This window comes from Homo sapiens, chromosome 8 (assembly GCF_000001405.40).
Source record: "Homo sapiens chromosome 8, GRCh38.p14 Primary Assembly".
NCBI lineage: Eukaryota > Metazoa > Chordata > Mammalia > Primates > Hominidae > Homo > Homo sapiens.
The window spans coordinates 6,389,451-6,412,495 of NC_000008.11; the positions used below are offsets into that span (position 1 = coordinate 6,389,451).

A 23,045-nucleotide genomic window follows, 5' to 3' on the forward strand; every position below is an offset into this window, starting at 1 on the left:
CCTCCCTGCACAGCCCTTAGAAGGAAGCAACCCACCAACATCTTGATTGTGGTCTTCTAGCCTCCAGAACTGAGAAACAGTAAGATCTTATTGCGCGAGTCCCCCACTTATGGTACCTCCTGGCAAACTAATACAAAGTCAATGTGTGATTCTACTGCTGGTGCTTGTCAGAGACTCCACAGGCAGCTTTTTCAATCACAGATATCTCTAGTATCAAGGAATCTTAAAAAATGTAAGACAGATTGCCAGGGAATTGCTTCTAATTTAAATGCTAGTTTTTTATAATGTTGTTTTCAGTTACCTGAGTAATTACAATTTTAAAAATGTAAACGCACCCTTTCCCCTTATCTTTTTTACAGCACTTAATGTGTGTGCCTCTTCCTTCATTTATTCCACAGGTGCTTATTGACCACCTCCTATGACCCCAGTAAGAGGTGAAGCCTGCTGGGCTTCTGGGACGGGTGGGGACTTGGGGAACTTTTCTGTCTAGCTAAAGGATTGTAAATGCACCAATCAGCGCTCTGTGTCTAGCCAAAGGTTTGTAAACGCACCAATCAGTGCTCTGTGTCTAGCTAAAGGTGTGTAAACACACCAATCAACACTCTGTAAAAACAGACCAATCAGCACTCTGTAAAATGGGCCAATTAGCACTCTGTAAAATGGACCAATCAGCAGGATGTGGGTGGGGCCAAATAAGGGGATAAAAGCTGGCCACCGGAGCCAGCAGTGGCAATGCAGTGGGGTTGCCTTCCACACTGTGGAAGCTTTGTTCTTTTACTCTTTGGATCAGCACTGTCTTTATGAGCTGTAACACACCACAGAGGTCTGCAGCTTTACTCCTGAAGTCAGCGAGACCAAGAACCCACTGGGAGGAATGGAGAACTCTGGACACACCACCTTTAAGAGCTGTAATACTCACTGCAAAGGTCTGCGTCTTCACTCCTAAAGTCAGCAAGACCACCAACCTACCAGAAGGAAGAAACTCCAGACACATCTGAACATCTGAAGAAACAAACTCCGAACACACCATCTTTAAGAACTGTAACACTAATTGTGAGGTTCCGTGGCTTCATTCTTGAAGTCAGTAAGACCAAGAACCCACTGGAAGGAACCAATTCTGGACACACCAGCATGGTGTATGGAAGGATATGCAAACACAGCAGTGAACCAAATAGACAGGGTCCCTTCCTCAGGAGACAGAGAATACACCATCATCAACCAGGTTGCTCAGAAGAATTTTCTGTGGACGAAAGCAATTGTTCTTCAACACTCTTAGTCTCATTTAAAGCTAAATTGCCTCCAATTCTTTCTGGAAGCAAAGCAATAAACACAGAGAGTGACCATTGTGGGAAAATGCTCATAGTATACTGTTAAACTGGAAAAAAAAAAAGTACGGCACCAAATTATAGGTGGTATGATCTCAGATGTGTTAAAAATTCACTGTTCAGGGCCCATATTCAAACTGGGACACACTGGCAGATCTATGCTTATTGCTAAAATACTGGAATATTCCTGGGTCACTTGAAGATGCTGCTGTCTTGAACCATCTTAGGATTTGCCGCCCCACCCATCTCTACCTTTCTTCTGGTTTCCACCTGGCTTCCCAGGCATCCAGCGACTGAAGGATTAACATGGGGCCCAGCGGGGGCCTGCAGGGTTCAGCTCCACACACAGCTGAGGTCTGTTCTCATTGTTTTGCTGCCTGTGCCATATTTGAGTTCATTCCCTAAGAACTCTACTATCTTGGATTCTTCAGTCAGCCACAAAGTTGCATTTTTATTACTCAAAAACATTGCCAAGGCATAAAACTAAGATAAATCATTATTTTTCTTGCAAATAATTGGGGCTCTTTGGTTTTTCATTCCCTCTGCTTTCCCATCCTCTTCCAGTCATTCACTTAGTTCAAATACTCATGATGTTTAGAAATATTTCATGTTTGTGAGTGCAAGCATACTAATTATTCTATCCTGTCAAATAATCTCATTGTAGAACGTAAAAAGCATTTTAAAAATTTTTTTCCATTAAAGACAAGGGTATTTGGCAATTATTATTCAAGAAAAAAGTCACCTTAGCTTCTAATATCAATAGAACTGTATTTTCAATCGAAAAAGCTTCCTGTTAATGAATGATAGTCAATTTTCTACACCAACTTTTAAATTTTTTTGGTTTTATAGAAATACCATAAAGGAAAATGTACCTGAATGATCTGTGCTTCATCTTTGAAATTCATGAACTCCTAGGAAACCCAGATCCACAGCTGCCCTAAATGTTTACCCTGTGCTGGGAGAAGGGAAGATTCGCAGGTAACTTCAGACTCCAGGGCGCCAGCATTTTCTTTCTGAAGTGCGGCCCTTTCATCTGACTTGTTTGCTGGGACTTTTCAGAGAGGTTCGCGTCCTGATTCCTGTCCAAGTGTTGTCAGGCTGTTAGGAAGAAATCTCTGAAAAGGCCTCCGCCTGCTGAGCCGAAGTGTGGGCTTCACAAAAGTCAATACTTTCAACTTTTCCTTTGCCCTGGGTGTGTTTAAAGGGGCTTTCCAGTACAGATCCCTTTTATTGCAGGTGAGGGTTGGTAGAGAAATAATAGCTTTCATCTTTTGTCCTTCTGCGAAGAATAAAAATGAAGAAACAGGGATGCCCTCTTTTAGGCTTTACGAGATCCTTTTTTTAGATGGATTTATCTGATTAAAAATCTTGAATAGAAATGCTATGACAAAAAAATAGTAGACCATATTAGTGCAAACATCAGGTCTCCTTGAGCTCATTAATTTTAATTCACTTTGTTCTTAATAATGAGAGTTTTAGCCCCTAGGCTTTCGTGATGGGTAGTCCTGGTCCTATGAAGAGGGAGTGAGTCAAGTGATAAGAGGTTCATTACCATCTGGAGCCTAAGACGGCTCCTGGTGCATAGAAGATGCTCGATAAATATCTATGGAAGGAATAGCAAATGAGAAATGAACAGATCAGGCCTGATGGCAAGAGGCCCGAGTTCTAGAACGGAAACTAATTTAAGTGGCTCTCTTTCTGAGTTGCTAGCCTGATTTCTTGAATCTGTGAAACAAATAGATTGGATTTGATGATAGCACCCTTTAAATTTAGTATTTTCTTGTGTCAGGGACAGGTCTTTTTCAATATGCTATTGCTTAGTCAAGTCTTAAAGATTTCATTTTTTTAACAAAGCTTTTTGCAACCGCTCTAAAACTGCCTTAAAACAGCACTAAATCAAAGAATCTTTACACTTGAGGCTATATTCTGGACAGAGTAAATAGCTTTCCAAAGTTTATATATGGAATACCTTTCTTTTAATATAGTATTTGATAACAGTATTTTCCTAGACATCAGAATTTCTATACTAAATTCTTCCTACCATTAACAGAGATGATTTTTAAATGGGATAGCAAACTGCCTTTCTATTGATAGGGTGAGATGTTGCTATGATTTCAATGTTTGTGCCTGCCCCCAAACTCATACATTGAAATCCTAACTCTCAAACTGATGGCACTAGGAGGTGGGACTTTAGGAAGGTGATTAGGTTATGAACCCTCATGAGTGGGATTAGTGCCCTTATAAAGGAGGCCCCAGGGAGCTACAAAGCTCCTTCCACCACATGAAGATACATCAAGGAGATGCATCTCTGAAGTCAAGAGCGACCTTTACCAGACACCAAATCAGCCAGCACATTGATCTTGGACGTCCAGCCTCCAGACTGTGAGCAATATATTTCTGTTGTCTATAAGCCACACTTTTTTTTTTTTTTTTTTTTTGAGACAGAGTCTCGCTTTGTCACCAGACTGCAGTGAAGGTGGCGCGATCTCAGCTCACTGCAACCTCCACCTCCCAGGTTCAGGCGATTCTTCTGCTTCAGACTCCCAAGTAGCCGGGACTACAGGCATGCGCCACCACGCCCAGCTCATTTTTCTATTTTTAGTAGAGATGGGGTTTCACCATTTTGGCCAGAATGGTCTCAATGTCTTGACCTGGTGATCTGCCTGCCTTGGTCTCCCAAAGTGCTGGGATTACAAGTATGAGCCACCATGCCTGGCCAAGCCACCCATTTTAGATTTTGTTATAGTAGCCCTGATCCGACTAAGCCAGCTATATTCAATGGTTAAGTTTGATTTCTGGGTTGCATATTCTTGGACTCCTTATTTTCTGTTGCCATGTGCATAAGCAAACATAGTCTAGTTGGTTACAACGGTGCTGGACACGTGAGGCTGTGACTCAACAGTCACCAGTATTTGCCTTCCACTCTGAGAGGTGAGGACCATTAGGGCTAATAATGTGGCCCAGTCAGCTATTTTCCTGCCATAATTGTATTTCCTTCTTATTTTAAAAGAATTTCAGACTTATAGCAAAAGCACAAGAATAGTACAAAATGTACAAAACAGTACAAAAATGAATTCCCATAAGCCATTCACCCAGATCCAAATGTCACCATTGCTTCTTCATTATCATATTGCATATATGAATGTATGTCCGTGTGCATATATTTTTCCTTAAAATATTTGGGAGGAAGTTATAAGCATGATGTCACCTACCCCTAAATACCTCAGTGTGTATTATCCTAAAATGAGGCATTCTGGTAAGTAACCACACTATAATGATCAAAATCAGAGAACTGACGTTTATAAAACACTACTATTGAACATACAGACATTTTCCACATTTTGCTAATTGTCTCATTACTATTCCTCCTAGAAAATACTTTTGGCCGGGCGCAGTGGCTCATGCCTGTAATCCCAGCACTTGGGAGGCCGAGGCGGGTGGATCACGAGGTCAGGAGATTGAGACCATCCCGGCTAACAGGGTGAAACCCCATCTCTACTAAAAAATACAAAAAAATTAGCTGGGCGTGGTGGCAGGCGCCTGTAGTCCCAGCTACTCGGGAGGCTGAGGCAGGAGAATGGCGTGAACCCAGGAGACAGAGCTTGCAGTGAGCCGAGATCACACCACTGCACTCCAGCCCGTCGATAGAGCAAGACTCCATTTAAAAACAAAAAGAAAATACTTTTAATTTTTTGTTCTGTTTCATGATTGAGTCCAGAATCACACATTGCACTTAGTTGCTACGTCTCTTTAGTTTCCCTTAAGCTGCCACAGTTTCTCATATTTCTTTGTCTTTCATGACCTTGACGTTTTTGAAGGATACAGGCCAGTTATTTTGTAGAAAGCCCTTCTGTTTGGATTTGTGTGATGATTTCTCGGAATTCCATTTGGGTTCTGCATTCTTGGCAGGAACCCCCTGGAAGTAGAAGTGATGTGTGCTTCTCAGTGCTTCATATCATGAGGCAGCTGGTGACTCTTTGTCCCTTTACTGGTGATGTTTGGTTCCTTTGAAAGGTGCTGTCTGCTATGTTTCCCCATTGTGAAGTGACTGAGGCTTTTCTTCATAATTGATATAAATAATTGATTATACATTCTGTCTTTAATCTGTTTCCCTCCTGGCAGTTTACTATAGGCAATCAGGAGAAGCCATGCTGCACTTTGCTTAAAGATTTCTTCTGTCAAATACCCTCTTTCATTACTTGTTAAGTTCCTCCTTTCACAAAACATTAGGACCCAACACAATTCAGCTGAGGTCTTTGCCACTTTATAACAAGGATGGCCTTTCCTCCTGTTTCTAATAACATGCCCCTCATTTCTGATACCTCATCAGAATTGCCTTTATTGACCATATTTCTACCAACATTCTGAGTATAACCACTTAAGTAATGTCTTAGAAGATTGAGGCTTTTTCTACAGTTCTCTTCTTCTGAGCCCTTATGAGAATCGCCTTTTTATTTTTTGAGACGGAGTCTCGCTCTGTCACCTAGGCTGGAGTGCTGTGGCGCGATCTCGGCTCACTGCAAGCTCCACCTCCTGGATTCATGTCATTCTCCTGTCTCAGTCTCCCGAGTAGCTGGGACTACAGGCACCTGCCACCACGCCTGGCTAATTTTTTTGTATTTTTAGTAGAGATGGGGTTTCACCGTGTTAGCCAGGATGGTTTCGATCTCCTGACCTTGTGATCTGCCCGCCTCGGCCTCCCAAAGTGCTGGGATAACAGGTGTGAGCCACTGCGCTCGGCCTTATGAGAATCGCCTTCTATGACCCAACAATAGCAATACAAGCTTTTTCTAATGTGCACCTCAGTGTTCTTCCTGCTTCTGCTAATTATACAATTCCAAAGCCACTTCTACATTTTTAGGTATTGTTTTACAGCAGCACCCCACTTCTTGCTATCAATTTCCATCTAAGTCCATACAAGCTGCTAAAACAAAACATGTTAGTTTGAGAAATTTATAAACAACAGACATTATTTCTCACAACTGTAGAGGCTAGGAAGTCCAACAGCAAAGCACCAGCAGATTCAGTGTCTGGTGAAGGCCTGTTCTTCACAGATGGTGCCTTCTATGTGACCTTATAAGGGAAAAGGGTCAAGTCTGTGTCCTCACATGGCAGAAGGGACAAGGACTACTTCTCTCAACTTCTTGTTAAGGGCAAAAATCACATTCATTAGGACAGAGCCCTCATTACTTAATCACTTCCCACCTCTTACTACTACTGAGACCCTACCTCTTAATACTATTGCACTGGTGGTTAGGTTTCAACATCTGAATTTGTGGGGGACACCAACATGCAGACTACAGCAGTTGGTCTAGTAAGAATCTGCCTACCCTTGCTGTCTCTTTTTTGTAATTTTCCATCCAATGACCTCTCACTCTGTTCAATGGCCAGAAATCCCCAGTTGTCTTTGCTGAATTCAGAGTTGAGCCCAATCTCTCTTCCCTATCTCAACAGTCTTTAATAAAGTCTTCCTTCAGTGGGACTCATGCTATCTTCATTGGGTCTGGTTGTTTGGAAAGTTAAGTCTCTTATCAGAGTAACGGTTTTTCTTTAAAATTTTAGAGTTATCATTTTGGCTATTGAATAACTTATAGTGACCTGGGACTCTATTTTCTGATATCCAGTGTTTTTAAACCTTTGATATTTGACAGACCTCTCAAGATCAAATTCTAAGTTAAAAAAAAAATTAAGTTGCCTAAAGTCCAAAAAGACATATTCAGCTTATTTAAAGTACTAAAATCATGCGGTAAACATTGTCAAATATAGTGTTTAATTTTCTTTGGGTTACATTTATATAAATGTGTTATTAGTATGTATTACAAAATTGTATAAGATTATAAGAGTCCTATAATTTTGATATGCCTCAGTATATGTTATCAGTAATAATTATAATTGTTATGTTAAATTATTGTGTGTCACAGAGGTAACAAATTTCCTTGTCAATTTTTTTTTTCTTTTTTTTTTTTTTGAGATAGAATCTTGCTCTGTCACCCAGGCTGGAGTGCAGTGGCGTGATCTCGGCTCACTGCAAGCTCCACCTCCTGAGTTCACACCATTTTCCTGCCTCAGCCTCCCAAGTAGCTGGGACTACAGGCACCTGCCACCATGCCCGACTAATTTTTTTGTATTTTTAGTACAGATGGGTTTTCACTGGGTTAGCCAGGATGGTCTTGATCTCCTGACCTCGTGACCCGCCTGCCTCAGTCTCCCAAAGTGCTGGGATTTCAGGCGTTAGCCACTGCACGCAGCCCAATTGTGTTTTTAACTGTGGCTGCCCTAAAATATTTTTGTCATCCAAGGCAATTGTCTCATTTTGATCCACTTTGGAAGGTGGTTTTATAATCAGCTATAAAACTTTGACAGGTACTCTTGAATGCAAGTTTCTGATAACTTTGGAGATGATGATGACACAAGTGTAAAGGGGAAAAACTTTCAGGACTCTCATGGAGAGCTGAAATGTTCATGGATATGAAGCAGAACAAAAGTTAACTGAATGGACTGAACTAATAAAAGACTGAAGTAACCTTTTTTTTTTTTTTTTTACTTTTTTGCTTAAAATGTTGCTGATCCTTTTTCTTATCCAGAACTAAGAAAACTTATCTTTTGAGCTATTTACAGCCTTTAACAATTGGTAAAATATACTCCTGTGAACAAAATTTGGAGCATATTTCTTTCTACCTGACTTCTCCAGAATTTGGGAACTATTTGTGAGTATTCTCAATTTATGGTAGTATAGACATTTGCATAAGCATGATAAGAATCTGTTTTCTTTTGTAACAGGACACGATTGTAGAAACTGGTTATTTTACCAAGGCTTTGACTGGAATGGCATGCTTTCTTTAAGGAATCAAAGTTGATTTACAGAGCCAATAAAAGCCTCTTGGGAAATCTGGCCTCATATTTTCTTTACACAGTCCCTGTATAAGGTTTCTGACCTGTGATAAGTAAAGAATGGCACTTTCTAACAGGCCGAGGAGCCCCAAGTTATCTTGGCACCTCAAGAGAAGAATAATTTACCTAACTCATAGGTATTTGACGGTATAAACCCATGGCAGGGCTCAGCTTTTAAAAAGTCTTATCTGAGATTCCTTATAGAACAGAGCTCCATCAAAGCCAATTTAAAAATCCTATATGAAAAATAATTATTTTTGCTGTGCTTTATGCAAATAACCAGGCCAAGTACAATAAAAGTTTATTTTGCAAACCAATCAGTCCTATCATTATTTGTTTTTAATAAAAATGATGATTGGGGGGCCGGGTGCGGTAGCTCACGCCTGTAATCCCAGCACTTTGGGAGGCCGAGGCAGGTGGAACACGATGTCAGCAGATCGAGACCATCCTGGCTAAAACGGTGAAACCCCATCTCTACTAAAAATACAAAAAATTAACCGGGCGTGGTGGCGGGCGCCTGTAGTCCCAGCTACTCGGGAGGCTGAGGCAGGAGAATGGTGTGAACCCGGGAGGCAGAGCTTGCAGTGAGCCGAGATTGCGCCACTGCACTCCAGCCTGGTCAACAGAGTGAGACTCTGTCTCAAAAAAAAAAAAAAAGAAAAGAAAAAAATGAGGATTGGAAAGAGAAAAATTATACTTAAAAAAGACTTATAGGCTGGGCGTGGTGGCCCATGCCCATAATCCCAGCACTTTGGGAGGCCACGGCAGTTGGATCACGAGGTCAAGAGATTGATACCATCCTGGCCAACATGGAGAACTCCCATCTCTACTAAAAATACAAAAATTAGCTGGGCGTGGTGGTGTGCATGCACCTGTAGTCCCAGCTACTTGGGAGACTGAGGCAGGAGAGTTGCTTAAACCCGCGAGGTGGAGGTTGCAGTGAGCCCAGATCTTGCCACTACACTTCAGCCTGGCAACAGAGTGACACTCCATCTAAAAAAAAACAAAAGTTACAGTACACCTTTTGTTAGCTGTTCTTGAATTTTTCCTTCAGTTTGGACTAAATCCTAAATTCTCTGTGGGCTAAAAGTCCCCAAACTAATGCTTTCAAATCTTTACTTTTGAAACTGGGAATTGCACTCCTCACCCTAGTATTCATTATCTACCTGATAGTCACTGTTCCCTCAAATGCAGTACTAAAACTATAGATGTTAATACTAATGCCTTTGCCATGCGAGCCTTGGAACCCCAGCCAGGCCTGCATGAGTACGCTCACACAGTTGCAAAGCAGTTCCATTTCTCTCACTTTGGGGTTAACGCCTACCCCTACTATGCCTCAGATCGGCAGGAAGAAGTTAGAGCAGCCTTCGCCCTTTTTCAATTTTCATTAGCCAACACCTTAAGATTAAGGTGTTATAAAATCCAAAAGGAGTCTGGGAGCGGTGGCTTATGGTTATAATCTCAACATTTTGGGAGGCCAAGGCAGGTGGATCACTTGAGGTCAGGAGTTCGAGACCAGCCTGGCCAACATGGTGAAACCCCATCTCTACTAAAAATACAACAAATTAGCCAGGCGTGGTGGTGCATGCCTGTAGTCCCAGGTACTCGGGAGGCTGAGGCAGGAGAATTGCTTGAACCCGGGAGGTGGAGGTTGCGGTAAGCCAAAATCGCACCAAAAACAAACAAACAAAAAAACCAAAGGGAGGGATTGAAACAGCCACTGCAAAATTGTAACTGGGACAGTGAAGGAGATCTGACCTAACCAACTCCATCTTGCTTCTAACCTCCAAGCTGTCCTTGTTCTTTCCCAGGCATAGGCTGAACTAACTTTGGGAGGAACTTAGCTTAGTGTTTATAGTTTACAACCAAGAGAATAACAGTCCTTTCCAAAAACAAACCTCCTTCTTGCCTAGGGACTAGACTGCCTTTGTAGGACTCATAAATTAGCCACAAGATTAGAAACTATGGTTTAGGAGTCATGCAGTTGGAGGCTAGAAGATTCTGACCCTCCCAAAACTGCTCCTAAGATCAGCGCTTGAGATACATTGCAGACCCTGCACTTGATGGATCAGCTGGCCCCACCCAGATGGATAATCGGGCTCATCTGATCTTGTGGCCACCACCCAGTAACTGACTCAGCGCAAGAAGACTGCTTTGACTCCCTGTGATTTCATTTCCAACCTGACCAATCAGCACTCCTGACTCACTGGCTGCCCCCGGCCCAGCAAGTTATCCTTCAAAACTCTGATCCCTGGATGCTCCTTGGGGAGACTGATTTGAGTAATAATAAATCTCCTGTCTTAAATTAAAAAAAAAAAAAGTATTTACTGTTTCAACAACTTTAAGAACATTTTTTTTTCATTAATACCACCTAGAAATCAGTGACTGTGTTTTATTAGAATAATTTCTGGTGCTTTATCATGTCTTTGATTATTTAAGACAACTAAATCTTCTCACCTTAAAAAAAAAGCTATTTTTTTCTTACAATCATAGAATCTCCTATGGCTATTTTTATTGTCAGTTTAATTAAATGGATAATTAAGTGTTGTTTCACAGTGACCTGTGATCCTATTTAATCAAGTGTTCAACGCTTTTGGCATTTTTGACAACTTCCCCAAATGAAATTCTAAATGAAATTTTTTTAACTTTGAACTGACTTTGAGATTTTCCAAAGGGTCCCTAGAAGATCTCAAAATATTTGTTCTCTCATTTTGTAAAAAGAGAGATGTTAAACTAATTAGGTTTATTCAATATGTTAAATTGCACGGGAGGCACTCACTGTCAAGAAAAGATACTTAACCTTCCTTAGGTGGTATTTGCATGGATAAATGTTATTATTTCAGAAACTGAATAAAGTTCCTAGAAATTTGTCAATGCCCTTGATAACCATAATATGTCCTGGTATAATATTATCAGTCATGATTACAGTTATGATTTTAAATGTATGCCACAAAAAAACTGATTTTCCTTGTTAACAGAATTAAAATAAACCTTCATCCGATCTTTACCATGGCCATTTTTGCCTTTTTGTCATTCGCAGTTATTATTTTACTCTGGTACTTTCCTGAAAGCTCTAGCGATCAGTTATTAGCCAGAATACTTCATCTTCAACAAAAAGGACTGTTTCTCTAAGATCCATGGAAAGGCCTGTAACAGTACTGTGGGGTACAGGCTTCTGATGACATTGCTTAAATAACTTTAATCTCATACCACTGCCCTGAGGAAGGATTTCCAGAACTCTAGTTGAAAAGCTGATGGGTTCATGACACTGCTAATCCAAGATCAAGCAAGGCCAGAATTAATCATATGGAACTGAGGTGACTGATAAACAATGGTTATGATTTTTTAAATGGCCTTTGTTTGAAACATTGCTGGTTCTTGAATGTTCTATGTCCTGAATATAAGGGAAGAAACATAGATTAGAACAAGGAAACAAAATAAAAACAATGATTAATGTTCAGAGCAGAATATAAACCCAGTTTTTTTAAGTCCAGAGGGCAAGCCAGTCATGAGGTTTTCTAGATGTGGGGTTCCATCTTTAGTGAGGATGGTAGTGGTATGTTGGAGTCATGGTTATTTTCTGGAGCAGAGCCTGGAAGATGCAAGTGTTCTGGAGAAATAATTGAAAACCCCAAACTGTTGTGATACATCCTTTGATTTCTCTTTTCTCTTAAGCTATCCACAAATGATAACAATTTAATAAACTTTCATAAGTAGAAATGAAAAATTTATCTTTTTCTCCCTGCTTCCTCTAAAATTTGTCAATTCTTATTGAATATTCCTATTCTCATGGCAATATAGTTGTTTGCATAAATTCAAGAAGAATCTGTTCTCCTTAAAAAAGGACATTATTTGGAAAAATTGATTATGTTACCAAGACTTTGACTAGAAGGTCATATTTGAGACTGATGTGCACAGAATTAGACGTGACCAGACATTTTTAAGAAACTAAGGTTGACTTGATGGAGCCAATGCTTACAAAGCTCTGCTGAAATAATTGACCTGGTGCCTTACCTGACTTACAGGGTTCCAGGCTTACAGGTGAGTAAGATGGGTTACTTACTCGCAGGCCCAGGGCCTTAAGATGTTTTGGAAACCTCAAGAAGAGCAACAGTTTTAGGGTCTGAATGGATCCCCACATTTCTCTATCTGAAACTACAGATAGTATAGGTGTAGTCTTTTTTTTTTTTTTTTTTTTTTTTTTTTGAGATGGAGTCTCACTCTGTCCCCCAGGCTGGAATGCAGTGGTGCAATCTCGGTTCACTGCAAACTCTGCCGCCCAGGTTCATGCCATTCTCCTGCCTCAGCCTCCCGAGTAGCTGGGACTACAGGCACCCGCCACTACGCCCGGCTAATTTTTTTGTATTTTTAGTAAAGACGGGGTTTCACCGGGTTAGGCAGGATGGTCTTGAACTCCTGACCTTGTGATCCACCCGCCTCAGCCTCCCAAAGTGCTGGGATTACAGGCGTGACCCACCACGCCTGGCTGTGTAGGTGTAGTCTTAAAACTCTAATCTGAGATTCCTTATAAAAGTTCCAGCCAAGCAAACCTAAAAAGGCTCCTGTGGTCAATTATCATTCTTGCTGGACTTATGTAAATGATCAGGCCAAATTTAATGAGACAAGACTTATTTTGTAAACAAGAGTAATCTTACTTTGTTTATCTTTGATCTCAGTGGTAGTAATTATACAGAGAAATTTTATGTTTCAATGGCAAACTATAACCCAGTTGTGTGAGTTATCAGACTCTAGTCTTGTTCATTGTCTTTGAGCAATTTTTTTACCTCTTTAAAAGCTGGATCCTGCCGGTCAGGCACGGTGGCTCACGCCCGTAATCCCAGCACTCTGGGAGGCCGAGGCCGGGGAATCACCTGAGGTCGGGAGTTCGAGACCAGCCATGACCAACATGGAGAAACCCCATCTCTACTACAAATACAAAATTAGCCCACAATCCCAGCTACTTGGGAGGCTGAGGCAGGAGAATCGCTTGAATCTGGGAGGTGGAGGTTGCAGTGAGCCGAGATTGCACCACTGCATTCCAGCCTGGGCAACAAGAGTGATACTCAGTCTCAAAAACAAACAAACAAAACAAAAAACAAAACAAAACCTGGATCCTGCCATCTTACATATTTTGTCAGTAATCAGTATTTCCAATTTTCCTCCCACTCTACTGACTTGACGTCACTGAGAACTAAAACTGATTCCTTCTCAAAGCCTTGCAAGCTGAAGCTGGATGGCTAGACAGAAACTTCAAAAGACTTATCACAACACGTGGGTCTTTCAAATATTTCCCCAGAACACCTGCATCTTCCAGACTGTGCTCTAGGAAATAACCATGATGGCAACACTACCTACCACTACCATCCTCACTAAAGATAGCTGGAGCCCAACATCTAGAAAATTTCATAACTGGCTTACCCTCTAGACTGGGTTTATCGTCTGCTCTGAACATTAATCATTGTTTTTGTTTCCTTGTTCTAATCTATGTTTTTCCCCCTTTTACAGATCTCTCATCTTACAATTTCTAACTCAAATCATCTCCCCACAGCAATCAACTTAGCTTCTTTTTTTTGTTAATGAAATTTCTAGGGAAGTTTCAGATGGAGAAATGTGTGGACCATTCAGGCCCTAAAAGTTGGTATAAAGATTATTTTACTGTGAAAATATTTGATCTAAGAAAGACGCATCAAGAAATTTTATTTGAACTTCCCTTATTTCACTAAAGCAGAGCCCCCAGAAAATACAGCTGCCATTGGCCTCCCTCTGAGGAAGTTTCCTGTAAATTCCACTACTGTAGAGACAGATTGCCCATTCTCATAAGCATCCAAAAGCCCAAAAGAACCTTCCACAACTTCCTACTGAAACTCCAAAATCTCCCAACACATTTTGTTAAGTGGATCTATAAACCTTTATTTCTATTTAGTGAGTTACTCTAAACCTTGTCTTTTCTCCTGTTAACCTGTTGTTATCAGTTAATTTGCAGGTCTTCAAACACAGGACCGACATTGAATGAGGAAAAGCTTTCCTTCCAACATAGACAATACGACTACCTGTAGAACATCATTTTGAATGTACAAAAAATTATTAAGCAGATTTAGCAAGTTTTCAGGACATGAGATCAATTGCAGATATCAACTATATTTCCATATATTAGCAACAATCAGAAACAAATGAAAAAATCACCATTTACGATATTATCAAAAAACACAAGACCTTGCACAGTGGCTCATGCCTGTAATCCCTACACTTTGGGAAGCTGAGGTGGGAGGATTGCTTGAGCCCAGGAGTTCAAGACCAGCCTGGGCAACATAGTGGGACTCCGCCTCTACAAAGAATTTAAAAAATGAATTGGGCATGGTCATGTGTACTTGTAGTCCCAGCTACTCAGGAGGTTGAGGTGGGAGGATAGCTTGATCCCAGGAGGGTCGAGGCTTCAAGATGAGCCATGATCACACCATTGCACTTCAGCCTGGGAGACAGAGTGAGATCCTGTCTCAAAAAAAAAAAAAAAAAAAAAAGAAGAAAAAAAGAAAAACAAAATAAAAAAACAAATACTTAGGTTAAAATCTAACAACAGTTATATTTTTTTTTTTTGAGATGGAGTCTCGCTCTGTTGCCCCAGGTGGAGTGCAGTGGCAAGATCTCTGCTCACTGCAAGCTCTGTCTCCCGGGTTCATGCCATTCTCCTGCCTCAGCCTTCCAAGTAGCTGGGGCTACAGGCGCATGCCACCACGCCCGGCTAATTTTTTGTATTTTTAGTAGAGATGGGGTTTCACTGTGTTAGCCAGGATGGTCTCAATCTCCTGACCTTGTGATCGGCCCGCCTTGGCCTCCCAAAGTGGCAGGCGTGAGCCACTGCGTCTGGCCAGAGAAATTTTAAAAGACCTAAATGTTAATGGGTCAGAAGATTCAATATGGTTAAAATGTCAATTCTCCCCAAATTCATCTGTAGAGTCAACACAATCTCAATCAAAATCCCAGCAGTATTTTTTTGTGCAAAATGAGAAGTCGACTCTAAGATTTAAAAGGAAATCTGAAGAATCTAGAAGATACAAAATAACCTTGAAAAATAAAGTTGTAGGACATAAACTATCTGATTTCATCACTTATTTATATAGCTACAATAATCAAAACAGCATGGTGCTGGCAGCAAAAAGACAAATAGCTCAATGGAACACAATAGGAAGCCTAAAATGAAACACATACATATGCAACACAGATTTTGATGTAAGCACAAAGGAAATGCAGTAGAGACAAAAATAACTTTTTAATAAATGATGCTGGAACATTTGGATATGTATACATGCAAAAAAATGAACTTTGGTCCCTATCCCATACCGTATACAAAAATTAATTAAAAGCAGATCTTATCCTTTGAGTCCAGTAGGTTGAGGCTGCAGTGAGCTGTGATTACACCACTGCATTCCAGCCTGGGCAACGGAGTGAGAAACTGCCTGGAGAAAAAAAAAAAAAAAAGTAGAACCTAGACCTGATATACAACCTAAAGCAGTAATATTTCTAGAAGAAATCCTAGGAGAAAATATTTGTGATCGTGGAGATGAAGAATCTATCAAATACTAAACTTTTTTTACCACCTTGACCAAAAGTAATTGGTTTATATACTTCATCATATCATTTAATTCAAAATCTACAGAGATCAATGTCACTTTCTCAGTAAAAGTACGTGAGTCTTCAATGATGCCCTGAACTCACACTCCCAAGTAAACCATAACACCATATTTCCAGAGTAGAGTTTATTAGAACAATAACTGGTGATAATGATAAATATTGATCAAAGACTGAGCCTAGGAAGTGGGTTTTTTGAGGCTGCATATACTCAAGGCAATTCTTCAGAACCACAGAGGGCTCATTGGATCCTATTAAAAGCTGAGAGTGAATGAATAAACAGATAAAACAGAGACCTGAGTAGACGGTAGTCGATATTCTTTTACATGTATTCTACCTCTAGATTCCATAGAAAGAACTAAAAGTACATGAATTTCACTACCAACATCTCCATCAGTTACCAGCTGTATCACCTTGGATCAGTCAGGTAACCTCCCGCGAATCTGGTTGCTTCCGGGGCAGGGGATCCGCGGGCTGCAGGTTTGAGCCTGGTTGCCGGCAGGGTGGAGCAGCTGGAGGGCCAAGCCTTTGAGCTCCAGGGGGGGTGGCCGGGACAGTGGGTAGTGCCAGCCGATCGGCGTCCTGGGGATTGCCTGAATGTGAGGTCTGGGTTCACCCCGCGGTGACCTGAGTCCTGGGATGCCCCTACAGGGATTTGCTGCCTCAGGGATCCGAAGTCTCTTTCATTCCCTTACTGGGGATTTGAGGTCTGGAGGTACTCCTGCGGGGGTCTGAGATCTCGGGGTCACCCTGTGGGGGTCTGAAGCCTCGGGGTCCCCGCGTGGGGTCTGAGGTATCAGAGTCCCCTCCGTTGGGTCTGAGGTCTCGGGGTCCCCCATCCCCGGGATCGGAGGTCCGGCTCCCCGGAGCAGGCAGGGCGGTGCGTCTGGCCCTGAACAGTAACGTGGCGCGCCAGCCCCAGGTGGTGTCGGGCTAGGGGGGCATAACGGTGCCGAAAGTCCGCACAAAGCCGTCCGCTGGGGTCCCGCCGCGTCCGCGAGGGAATGACTGTGCCCCCTCCCCTTCCTGATCCTCAGCTCAGGTGAGCCCAGATGAGGCGCCGGGTAGCTTCTAAGTCACTAATGGAAATAGAAGGCTAATTCAGGGGTTAGGGGCCGTCGTCCTCCTTACTCCCAGGAGAAGAGAAAAACCCACGGCCCAGCAGCCAGAGGCGCGGCGAGGCGGAATCGGGCCCCCTCCCCGGGGGCTCAGCTCCCTCCAGCCTCCCGCCTCACCTACAGAGAAATCCCGGAAACGCGGATTCAGCGGAGCGCGGTGACGGCGGCGCGCTCACCCCGCGCATGCCCAGTGCCCGCGCGCGCCGCCAGGCTCGCAAGCACCGCGTAGGCCAGCTGGCCGGATCCCGCCGTCTGTCATGGCGGCCCCCATCCTGAAAGGTGAGGTACTTCCTGCTGCCTGCTCCAGCAGCGGGAGTTTGAGGACCGGCACCCCTCGTCGCGGGCGCACTCGGGGGATCCCGTGGGAGGAGCCCCGCTCGCCCCTCCCTCGCTGCCTGTCTCCCCCAGACCCCCTGCCGCCTCCTTCCTCCCCCGCTGCCTGTCCCACCAAAACCCCCTGCTCCTGCTCTCTCCCCCGCTGCCTGTCCCCCCAAAACCCCCGGCTGCCTGCTTCGTCTCCCGTGCTCCCTGTCCCCCCAAACCCCCGACTGCCTGCTTCCTCCCCCGTACTGCTTGTGCCCCAACCCCCGTGCTGCTAGTTCCCCTCAATCCCCCGCTGCCTGCTCCCTCCCCCATGCTGCCTGTCCCCCAAATCCCGCCTTTCCCCCTACCTGCTTTCACCCCTGCTGCCTTAGTCCCTGGATCTGGGGCTCACTGGCAGGCAGAGTCCTGCCCTCCGGAAGTTGGTGTGGGGCCCTCCTGGGTCTGGTCCTGTTCGACCCCCTCTGAGGCCCACCTGGAGGAGCGGCAGTTGAGTTTCTATGCTAATTGTTCCAATAATAGGAGCCGCCTTTTACTGCGGAGTCTTTGTGTGCCAGGCGCTGTGCTTAGGCTAGTATGGTATTGTCTGATTTTTTTAACCGCTCTATCAACTCTCTTATATCATTTTACAGGCAGAAACTAAGGCATCGGACGTTTAGGTGACTCTCCCTGTGTGTGGCTAGTCAGTGCTGACAGGGCCTTAGACCGGAGCTGCTGTCCTAACCAGTATATGATACCGCACGCAGTCCCACCCTCTGTGCACCTGGAAGAGCCCAGGAGAGGGGAATAGCGGACACGTGTCTTGTAGAGTTTGACCGTGAGAAAAAAGGGGCCTGTATTGTGGGGCCTGGAGTCATAAAACCTCATAGCCAAAAGTAAAGACTAGAGGCTTTATACAAAGTCTGTAATCAGATGTGGCTATTTTTCTAATGTTAGTATTTTGTTAAATTAACCTGGTTTTCTTTTAGCGTTACCCCCAATCATTGACCAACGGCACACCTGGAAAATGCTTTTAAACATCAGGTTTTGAGAAGAGGATATCCACTAGAACAGGGGTCCACTCACTATGCCCCCCAGGCCATATCTAGCCTGCTGCCTGTTTTTGTAAGGGTCTACGAGCTAAGAATGTCTTTTACATTTTTAAGTGATTTTAAAAAAAGGTCAAATGAAAAATTATATCACATTCACATTTCCTTCTCCATAAATAAAGTTTTATTGGAACACAGGCCGGCCCGTTAATATATTACCTATGGTTATGTTTGTGCCACAACCGTGAAGTTGAGTAGTTGTGGCAAATACTGTATTGGCCACAAAGCCTGAAATATTTACCATCTGTCTCTTTACAGAAAATAGGTTTCTGCACTGGAAAAATTAAGCGTAAGAATTTGGGGAAAGCAACTAATTTTACAAATGTAAACTCTCATGTATTGTATGGGTACAGTTGTTCTTTGCTTAAAATTTTAATAAATTCCACTGAAGCTATTTTGAAAAGGCTTTCAGTAGAAATTTATTTATGAGACAGAGTCTTACTCTCTTGCCCAGGCTGGAGCGCAGTGATGTGATCACATAATAGCTCAAGCAATTCTGCTTCAGCCTCCTGAGTAACTTGGGACTACAGGCACTACCACGCCCGGTTATTTTTATTTTTATTTTTTAATTTATTATTTTTTTGTAGAGCCAGGGTCTCACTATGTTGCCTAGGCTGGTCTTGAATTCCTAGCCTCAAGCAATCCTCCCGCCTCCACCTTGCAAAATGCTGGGATTACAGGCATGAGCTACTTTGTTCAGCCAGTAGAAGAAACTTCATTTACTTTTCTTATTTTTGAGGCAAGGTCTTTCTCTGCTGCCCAGGCTGGAGTGCAATGGTGCGATCATAACTCAGCTTCTACCTCCTGGGCTCTAGGGATTCTCCCACCTCAGCTTCTCCACCCTACCCACCCCCATTTCCCACCCAGTAGCTGGGACTACAGCCACTCGCCACCATTCCTGGCTAATTAAAAACAAAATTTTTTTTAGAGACAGGGTTTCACTATGTTGCCCAGGCTGGTCTCAAACTTCTGTGCCCAAGTGATCCCACTGCCTTGGCCTTCCAGAGTGCTGCAATTACAGCATGAGCCACCACACCTGGCCAGTAGAGTAAATTTTTGTTTTACTTTTTTCTTTTTTTTTTTTTGAAACGGGTCTCGCCCTGTCACCCAGGCTGGAGTGCAATGGCGCAATCTCGGCTCACTGCAACCTCTGCCTCCCGGGTTCAAGTGATTCTCCTGCCTCAGCCTCCCAGTAGCTGGGATTACAGGTGCCCGCCACCATGCTCGGCTAATTTTTTGTATCTTTTAGTAGAGATGGTTTTTCACCATGTTGGCCCGGCTGGTCTCAAACCCCTGACTTCGTGGATCCACCCACTTCCGCCTCCCACAGTGCTGGGATTACAGGCGTGAGCCACTGTGCCGGCCTCGGTTTACTCTTAAATGTAAATAGAACAAAATCTATTGGGCAGGGGATGCTGGAATTTCAAATGTATGTTTCATGTTCATATCTTGTTTTCAGATGTAGTGGCCTATGTTGAAGTGTGGTCATCCAATGGAACAGAAAATTATTCAAAGACATTTACAACACAGCTTGTGGATATGGGGGCAAAGGTAAGACACTTATTTTGCTGTTGATTCATATGACAGTCTTCTGATTGGTAAAAAGTTACATTTGCATTTTCTTATTTTGGGAGTTTTTACTTAGAATCTGGACGAAGCAATGGGTAAGCGGTGGGAGAAAAAAGAGCCAAAGTGTGAAGAATTTAGAACAGTAGGACTTTCAGAACTCAATGCCTGTGGGCATTGAGTGAGGAGGAGGAACCTAGGATGAAATGCTGGATTCTTACACTGGTTACTTGAATGCATAGTGCTATTAAGCAAAGTGAGGAATACAGGAAAAGGAACAGGTTTCTAAGGGAAAAATTGTAAATTTGGGCATACTGAAAAATATCTGTTAGATATTTGGATATACAAGTCTGGAGCTTGGAGTGTTCAAGGCTAGAGATGATGATCTAGGGGGTCAGGACCATAGGGGTCATGTGAAGTCACAGGTGTGGACATCGTCCCATGTCAGGCATGGTTAGGATGAAGAGTGGTGACAGAGGAGCGTTGTTCAGTATTCAAGGACAGGCGATGGGAGCAGGGACCCAGTGACAGAGGGAGAGAAGAATGCCAGGAGAAGGAGAAAGGAAGTGTGGAAGTCAAAGTAGGGAGTAATTTTTTTTTTTTGAGACGGAGTCTCGCTCTGTCGCTAGGCTGGAGTGCAGTGACGCGATCTCAGCTCACTGCAATCTCTGCCTTCTGGGTTCAAGCGATTGTCCTGCCTCAGCCTTCCAAGTATCTGGGACTACAGGCACATGCCACCATGCCTAGCTAATTTTTTTTTTTGTATTTTTAGTAAAGACGGGGTTTCACCATGTTGGCCAGGATGGTCTCAATCTCCTGATCTCGTGATCCGCCCACCTCGGCCTCCCAAAGTGCTGGGATTACAGGCATGAGCCACCGAGCCCGGCCAGGAGTAATTTTTTAATTGCCTTTCAGAACTAGAATGGAGTAATTTTAAAGATAGAATTTTTAAAAACTACAGAAAGTTCAAGAAAAATAGGATGGGCAAATGTACTTTGGATTTGAACACTGTAAGGTCATTGCTGAACTTAGTGCAGTTTTCAGTGAAATGGGCAGGAATCATTGAGCTATGAGGAAATGGAGATAGCAAACAATTTGCCTTATTCAAGGTTTCTTAGTATAGCCATCTCTGTTATCAGATTTACTATCACGTACTGCTTGTGTTCAGGTAGCCTCTATTTGACTTAATAATGTCCTTGATACCAAATAGGTATCTTTTGCCCACGCACACTAAACCGATCACTTTGATGACGGGTTTTACAAAAGGGAAAAGATTCATTCACGGGGAAGCCCAGCTAGGAGGCAGAAGAGTACTCACATCTTCATTCCCAAAGATAAGGCTTAGGGATATTTATCAGTTAGGGAAGTAGGGTGATCTAAGCTGTGGGGAAAAATGAAGTACATGATCTGCACAAGCATAGTTGGGATTCATGGAATGCATGTTTAGAAAACAGGCATTATTAGGAGGCCAAGGCAGGCGGATCACCTGAGGTCAGGAGTTCGAGACCAGCCTGGCCAACATAGTGAAACCCCATCTCTACTAAAAATACAAAAAAAAGCCAGGTGTGGTGGCACACACCTGTAGTCTCAGTGATTCGGGAGGCTGAGGCAGGAGAATCGTTTGAACCTGGGAGGCGGAGGTTGCATTGAGCCGAGATTGCACCACTGCACTCCAGCCTGGGCGACGGAGTAAGATTCTGTCTCCAAAAACCAAAAAAATAGGCACTAGTAGGATCCGATGGTGAAGATTTTGGCCTGATGTCAAAAGGTCATTTCTTGGGCATTTACACAGGCCTGGTTGAAGAGTTGGTGGTTGCAGCCTGTTTGAACTGTACGGGTGCTGCCCCAAGTTCCTGAAAAGTAACTTAAGCAACTGTTACCGTGGTGACATATCCACCAGAAGTTTTTATCTTATAAGGAAGCCAGTGAAGGTTATAGCATTTAGTAGTATGACTTGCAGCTATATAGAAATAAATAAATAAATAACAAAAAGCAAGTGACCAAAAGCAAGCAAGGCAGGTTAAATTTGGCAGAACTAATTTTCAGCCGTAAAGTGCAAGAGTGATGATGCTGGCAATTCAGATATGCCAGAGAAGCCTTAAGGTGCTTTAAGTGAAAAGGTGAAAGTTCTCCACTTTAAGGAAAGGAAGAAAATTGTGTGTTGAAGTTGCTAAGATCGACAGTGAGAACAAATCTTCTAATCTTGAAATTGTGAAGAACTATGCTACTGTTGCAGTCACACCAAACTGCAACAGTTACAGCCACAGTGCGTGATTTTTATTATAATACATTGCTACAATTACCCTATTTTGTTATCATTATTGTTAATCTGTGCCTAATTTGTAAATAAAACTTCATTGTATATGTATGTATAGGAAAAAACAGTATATAACCTGTTCAGTACTAGCTCAGGATTCAGGCATCCACTGGGAGGGGTTGGGGGCGGGACGCGGGCATGTCTTAGAACTTAACCCCCGTGGATAAGGGGGAACTAATGTGCTCTTATAGGGAGTTTAGTTATGAACAAATCCTGTTTATGTCCTTGTCTGGCATTTGGGAGGGGCTGACTGATAGGCTGAGTGAAAGAGAACCATTAAAAATGGGAGAAAAGATAATCGAAGGCAGGGCTAGGTTAGGGTGGAGCAAGAGAGCTGCTGTGGGTATAAAACTTAAGAGGCGCTCACCACCAGGCAAAGAGTGGGTGCTACTGAATACCCTAAGAGCCTTGTTTGACCTCCCTAATGCCTGTCTTGAGTAAGAGGTCAGTGGAGAGGAATCCGAATATAGGAGCAGGGCCTGCACTGCAGGAGGGGAGACATGCCCACTGTAATACACTGGAATGTAGGAACCCGAGGGAGTCTGCATGTTGCACATGCCTAACATTTACTTGGGATGAGGAGGAACTACTGTGAATAAGAAAAAAGCCGTTAGACAAGTGAGTTGACAAGGTGGTTTGAGGGTAGCATTAAGATCTTAGATCTTTTAGAACTTTTTGGTTTCACCTTTTATTTCAAAAATTGGCAAACAGTTCAAAGAATAGTGAATACAGATCAATAGTCGTTAACATCGTAAGATTTGGATATTTGTAGTACTCGTAATCCGGGATTATC

The 23,045-nt window shown here is 42.9% G+C and overlaps 1 protein-coding gene and 1 long non-coding RNA gene across 20 annotated transcripts in view, besides 4 other annotated features; one reads left to right on the forward strand and one right to left on the reverse strand.

Moving 5' to 3' along the window:
* Window positions 587-1,786: an enhancer, noted in NCBI's record as "BRD4-independent group 4 enhancer chr8:6247558-6248757 (GRCh37/hg19 assembly coordinates)". NCBI's record gives its function as "activates an origin of replication core promoter dependent on BRD2, P300/CBP, MED14 and CDK7 cofactors, and independent of BRD4, by STARR-seq in HCT116 cells {active_cell/tissue: HCT116}" and the evidence as "EXISTENCE:reporter gene assay evidence [ECO:0000049][PMID:35650434]".
* Window positions 10,324-10,524: a silencer, noted in NCBI's record as "peak6892 fragment used in MPRA reporter construct". NCBI's record gives its function as "represses an SCP1 promoter by STARR-seq MPRAs in K562 erythroleukemia cells {active_cell/tissue: K562}" and the evidence as "EXISTENCE:reporter gene assay evidence [ECO:0000049][PMID:32103011]".
* On the reverse strand, window positions 14,106-17,098 carry MCPH1-DT (MCPH1 divergent transcript). The gene is made up of 2 exons (NR_040040.1): window positions 16,256-17,098; window positions 14,106-15,670 (listed from the first exon to the last, which is right to left on the reverse strand). It is a non-coding gene; the product is annotated as an MCPH1 divergent transcript (long non-coding RNA).
* Window positions 16,919-16,998: a silencer, noted in NCBI's record as "silent region_18880". NCBI's record gives its function as "represses an Ori minimal core promoter by ATAC-STARR-seq in GM12878 lymphoblastoid cells {active_cell/tissue: GM12878}" and the evidence as "EXISTENCE:reporter gene assay evidence [ECO:0000049][PMID:35858748]".
* Window positions 17,177-23,045, forward strand: part of MCPH1 (microcephalin 1) — a 241,882-nt gene continuing 236,013 nt past the window's right edge. For 17 of the 19 annotated variants that reach the window (NR_136159.2, NM_001322042.2, NM_024596.5 and 14 more), the window contains exons 1-2: window positions 17,177-17,239; window positions 19,829-19,920. Coding sequence is in view for 18 of the 19 variants with exons in the window: in NM_001322042.2 (NP_001308971.2) it covers window positions 17,218-17,239; window positions 19,829-19,920 (114 nt within the window). In the remaining variant the exon portion in view is untranslated. Of the gene's footprint in view, window positions 17,240-17,702; window positions 17,861-19,828; window positions 19,921-23,045 lie in introns of those variants that run through there. The other 2 variants (NM_001322043.2, NM_001322045.2) reach the window with 2 other exon arrangements.
* Window positions 17,259-17,438: a silencer, noted in NCBI's record as "silent region_18881". NCBI's record gives its function as "represses an Ori minimal core promoter by ATAC-STARR-seq in GM12878 lymphoblastoid cells {active_cell/tissue: GM12878}" and the evidence as "EXISTENCE:reporter gene assay evidence [ECO:0000049][PMID:35858748]".